Below are 5872 nucleotides of genomic sequence, written 5' to 3'. Positions count from 1 at the left end.
TATACTAAGTGTCCATACCCATTAGACTCTCTCCGTGAACCCGCACCCTTTTTCCTCTTCCTGGGTTTTGATGGGTCTTACTGGTCCTAAATTATTTAGCTCAAACATTTCTCTCTCTGGAACTTTCCCTGACATCACTAGGCTGAGCCAAATGCCTTTCCCCTGGGCTTCATAGTTTGCTTGATATACCACATTGTCTTGAAATTATCTGTTCAAGCACATATCTGTTATCTGTTTTTCTCTCCCACTAGTGGTAAACTTCATGAGGGCAGGGGCTATATTATTCCACTTTGTATTCCAGCATCATTCATAGTGAGCTGCATATAAAGTCCAACATAAGGAGGACCGAATTCAAGGTCCACGTTTGCCCCTTTCTATGGGTCGGGGCCAGATGGCTGCTGAAGGAGGCAGGGACAGTAGCATCAACTGCACCTTGAATAGAACAGGAATCCAAAGGTGAACAAACTCTATTTCTGCATGCCCCTGTCTGAGCTGTCAGTACCTGTGGGGGCTTTTGGCAGATCTAAGCCATTAAGGGGAAGAGAAAAAAATGGGAGAAGAGAAAAAAAAGAGGAGAAACAATAAGAGGAAAAGTAGAATTGTAGTGGTGGATCCATTACAGACCTTTGCTGATTGAGAAAAAAAAAATCATTGCCCAGTTGAGAGTGAAAGTGGGAGAAGAATATTAGAGAGAGGACAGCCAAGTAATATTTTATAGACTCTTGCCCACCTCTATGGGAGACTTGACTCCATGCAATGCAGTAGAAAATTCCCATGACGTTTCAGTTAGTGGGAGGCTGGAGAGCCGGATTTTTGCTCCTGTCAGTGGGAGGCAAATAATTCCAGCTCTGGAGTCAGATTGTCTGGTTTGGGTTTCACCAAAAGACCACTCAGGTAGCTCTTTAAAACCCTATTTTGTGATTCATACAATGTGAATAATAATGATCTCTCTCTTTTTATTGTAAGGATTAAATGTAAAGGATCAGTGTAGATGTAGTTGTCAGAGTGCTTGGTACATAACAAGTACTTAATAAATTATATCAATTATATGTGCTGATATTTTTTTCTGAATATCCTGGGCCTGACTTTGGAGTATTAGAGAGTCGAGTGGGAAGGTTGTAGGAAGGGGAACCACTGGATAAAGAATCATATGGCCTAGAGAGGAGGAGCTATTCTCCTCCCAGTTTATGTTAAGATGCTCAAAACATTTTTACTGTGGATCTAAGGGAATTAGCCATATGGAGAGACAACTACAACAGTGGGAAGAGTGATCCTGAAGTGAAAACTACTGTATTCTGGTCTAAATCCCAGTACTGCTCAGTTTTGACACATTGGACAAATTCTGCAAGCTCTCTGGGTCTCTGCTCTTTCCTCTGTCAAATAAAGGAATTGGACTGTAAGCTCCTTTTTGGCTACAATCGTCGATTCTAATGTCTAGCCAAACCAAGTTGAAACTTTTCCCCTTTGTCTATATTTACTTGCTACCCCACCCAGTTGGTTGGGGGCTATAAATTAAATAATAGGCAAAGCAAAGGTCACCAGACAGGCTCTTTATAAAGAGAACTGATGGTTGAATACATACAAGCTATATCTAGCACTCTCTGTTTAAGTATTTAAGAACCCAAAGATTTCTGGGGTAGAGGTAGGAGAGGGAGTGGGGCTGGGTGTGAGACATATGTGGCTTCCTCAGAAGGCAGAGCCAAGCATGTGTGGACAAGGGTCGTTTTCTAAACTGCAAGTGGAGACTGCACAAGGAAGGGGTTTCCATCTTGGGGAAGAGAGAAAAAAGAACAAACCACAATGACTGATTACACATAACCAAAGGGTTGTCTGATGGAGGAAGGTGGGGAACAGTTTGATGGAGGAGGATGTAGCCTCCCATGGCACTCCAGGGGGAGGACTGTGACCACCAGGGCAGATTTCAGATTTCAGTACAGTAAGAAAACCCATCTTTTCCATTAAAGCAGGGGCTGGGAAACTTTTTTGTGTAGGGACAGGCAGTAGACATTCTAGGCTTTGTGGACCATACAGTACTTGTCACATCACTCAACTCTGCCATTGTAGTATGAACACAGCCACAGGCGATACATAATAAGCATGGCCATGTACAAATAATGCATTATTTGCAAAAGCAAGCAGTAGGTCATATTTGGCCCACGGGGCTCTGTTTGCAGATCCCCGCATTGGAGGATCACCTGTAGGATAGGTGACTATTGGAAGTAAGTGGTAAGTATCCCCTCCCATCATCACCATCACAGTAAAGACAGGGTGCAATTAGAGGTTGAAAGACCCTCCCTTAATAGTGTCAAGGTGTGTATACCAGCCCAGGTTGGGTGGGGGTTACAATTAGCTGGCTTATGGTGTCTCTTTTAACGCTAAGTCCTACAATGCTATTAGATGGTAGGCATAGGGAGCTAGTATGGGGTCCCTAAGTATCCAAGAGAGGGCAGGAGACCTTGGAAGAAGAAGCTGAGGCCCATAAGGCAAACTTCACAATTAGCCTGGGGCTGCTGCAGTCTCATTTGACACTTTTCCGCTTTGATCTCTTTCTTTGGAGAAACATTGCCTGGTAAGGATTTTCTGTTCTTACAATTTTAGCAGATTTGAAGGGGATATCATGGAGATGCTCAATTATCATCCTATTAGATAAAAAAAATCCCTTTCTTCTCTCTTTTGCTGTTCTGGTTCCTCCCTCAACACACACACACACACACACACACACACACACACACACACACACACACGCCACTCACTCATTTTGTATACATTTTCAGTTGACCAGCTGCATAAGAAGCAGGCATCCAATTATCCAAAAGGAGCCCTGTCTAAATAGAAAGCTGTAGCACTCTCTTGCCCCCAAGGGCCTCCCCTTCAAGGTTTGGTTCCTGCAAACACTGTGTCCTTTTTGGGCTTCCTTCGTAATCTGTTTAGCTTTCATCAAAAATATAGCAGGACTTGGAAGCAGGAGGAGGGATATGGGGCTGCTGGAGGGAATATTAAGTGTGCACACACCCAGGCTGCCGTTATCTGACTCTAGGCTGCCAGACACGGCTGCATCTGGAATATTAAGATGCCGGGCTTCTCCTGGGGCTGCCACCATCTCAATTTGGAACCTGTACCAGGCCACTGATAAATCGAGTCCTCATAAAACCCAGCTCAAACCCAAGTGGAGCCAGGCAGGATTCTAGGTCTTTACCTGGCCATTACCTCCAGTAAAGAGCCAGCTAAGGCATCCTAGAAGACCTTCACTGAATTACCTTTCAGTCTTATGGCATGGCTGACTATAGATTTCTAAGACCTGGCCTGAGGGACACTGGTATTTCTGCTATTTTAGCATCTGCTGCATTTCAGAGTAGAAACATGGTGGGAGTGGGAATCAGACCATTTGTGTTCAAGTCCTGGCTCTGATACTTAGTAGTTACGGAGCCTTGGGCAAGTCTCAGCCTTGTGAGACTTAGGGTCCCAATTTGTGAAATGGAGATTTAAAAGTCAAATAAAATGAAACCATTCCAAGTGCAGTTGATTCTTATTATTCATGGTAGTTACATTGTATACAGTTGCTGCAAACACTGAATGAAATACTAAACCATTGCTCCTAGGAGAAATATGGAGTTAGGTTTCTGCAAGCTTTTGGTCATAATAGTTTAATCATTCTATCAACACATTGTTAAAACCTTGTTTTATGTGTGTTTCTGTTTAGACATCTTATTTAATACAAATTGTTGATTAGTTAACATTGAACTCATAGCCAACAGAACTACAACTCATGACTGAATAAAGCTTATCTAACACATGCATTTTCTTTGTAAGTCATGTCACATCCTTCTGGCCCTGCAGCACTTCAGCACCATACATGGGAGCTATTTTAAACAGTGGAATTGAAGCAGGTGGACAGGCAAGCCCCAGAATTGGGGTTTAGCCAGGGAAGGTTTGATATGCTTATGCTGTGTCCCCACCCAAATCTCATCTTGAATTGTAGCTCCCATAATTCCCACATGTCGTAGGAGGGACCCAGTAGGAGGTAATTGAATCATGGGGGGTGGGTCTTTCCCATGCTATTCTCATCATAGTGAATAAGTCTCACAAGATCTGATGGTTTTATAAAAGGGGGATTCCCCTGCACATGCTCTCTTGCCTGCCACCATGTAAGATGTGACTTTGCTCCTCATTCACCTTCTGCCATGATTGTGAGGCCTCCCCAGCCATGTGGAACTGTAAGTCAATTAAACCTCTTTCCTTTATAAATTACCCAGTCTTAGATATGTCTTTATTAGCAGTATGAGAACAGACTAATACAAGGTTCTTGGCTTCACCCAGGAAAGAATTCAAGAGTAAGCCAGTGGTGTTAAATAGCAGTCTTTTATTGAACTGGAGCTGCTTCTGGTGGAGCAGGGCTAATTCATAGGCAGCGTGCCCAGAGTCACACTTGTGGGCTGTTGGTGGCCATATTTATATCCAATTACTTGTAATACTTGCAGTTACAATACTTGCTTAAGGGGCAGTTTATTCAACAACATTCTAGAAAGGGGTGGTAACTTCCAGGTCATTGCCATGGAATTTGTAAACTGTCATGCCACTGGTGGGAGTGTGTTATGCTAATGAGCAATGAGGGCATCTAGGGATCACTTTTGTTACCATCTGCTGGTTTCTGCCAGTTTCTTTTTTTTTTTTTTTTTTTGAGACAGCGTCTCTGTCGCCCAGGTTGGAGTGTAGTGGTGCAGTCTCAGCCCACTGCAACCTTTGCCTCCTGGGTTCAAGCAATTCTTCTGCCTTAGCCTCTGGAGTAGTTGGGACTAATGGCCTGCACCATGCACCAATTTGCCTAGCTAATTTTTGTAGTTTTAGTAGAGACGGGGTTTCACCATGTTGGCCAGGCTGGTTTCGAACTCCTGACCTCAATGATCTGCCCCCCCTTGGCCTCCCACAGTGCTGGGATTACAGGTGTGAGCCACTGTGCCCAGCTGGTTTCTGCCAGTTTCTTTACTTCATCCCATCTGGATCAGATTCTGTTTTGTGTCAGCAGGGTTGTGACCAGAAAACAAGTCCTGCTGGTCTCCTACTTCAGAATCACCAACAAAAAGCACAAAAATGTGCCACTCAATAGACTGCAAAAGGGTGCTGGTTTACAGTCTGAGAGCCAAAACAAAAAGGCAGAGCTTCACCTGGTCCCACCTCAGCTGGGAGCGTGCACATTTTCCCTCATCTGCATATGTCTATGAATGACTGCAAATGCATCTCAAGACTTGATTTGGGAGTTACACAGAAAGAAATTTTAGTAGGAGAATTTGCAAATACTGAAATGTGAATAATGAGGAAAAACTGTGCTTCGGGGTGGTCATGGTGAGGATCTATCAGAAAGTCCAAACTACCCCATCCCGTGTGCTGAGTCCTTTGAAATTTACTTCCTGCCTGCTTCTTCCACACTTTCTGCCGCTGCTCCTAACACATACCCCATTCTCCAGCCACTCCTCTTACTCTCTGGTCAGGGAATGCTGCTTCTTACTTCTGTACCGCTGCACATACTGTTTTCTGCCTAAGGTGCCCTCTTTATCCTCACAAAACTAAGCTATTATTCTTCTCAGAAGATGCCAATAGGTAGGCATCTTCATCCATGTGGGCTGCTATAATAGAATACCATAGACTGGGTGGCTTATCAACAACAGAAATTTATTTTTCATGGCTGTAAATGCTGGGAAGTCCAAGATCAATTTGCTGTTAGATTTGGTGCCTGGAGAGGGCCTGCTTCCTGGTACTTAGATAGCCATCTTTTCACTGTAACCTTACCTGGCAGAAGGGGCAAACAAGCTCTCTGGTGTCTCTCTCTCTTTCTTTTTTTGCTCGGTCACCCAGGCTGGAGTACAGTGGCACCATC

General features: G+C 44.0%; 1 annotated feature.

Moving 5' to 3' along the window:
* Positions 4853 to 5354: an enhancer, noted in NCBI's record as "NANOG hESC enhancer chr2:30167172-30167673 (GRCh37/hg19 assembly coordinates)". NCBI's record gives its function as "activates a minimal SCP1, AML or CMV promoter by ChIP-STARR-seq in primed H9 embryonic stem cells {active_cell/tissue: H9 hESC(primed)}" and the evidence as "EXISTENCE:reporter gene assay evidence [ECO:0000049][PMID:30033119]".

The sequence above is a fragment of the Homo sapiens genome, chromosome 2 (assembly GCF_000001405.40).
Source record: "Homo sapiens chromosome 2, GRCh38.p14 Primary Assembly".
Taxonomy (NCBI): domain Eukaryota; kingdom Metazoa; phylum Chordata; class Mammalia; order Primates; family Hominidae; genus Homo; species Homo sapiens.
Note: the sequence above shows the minus strand (reverse complement) of the source record. Positions and strands in the feature narration are given on the sequence as shown.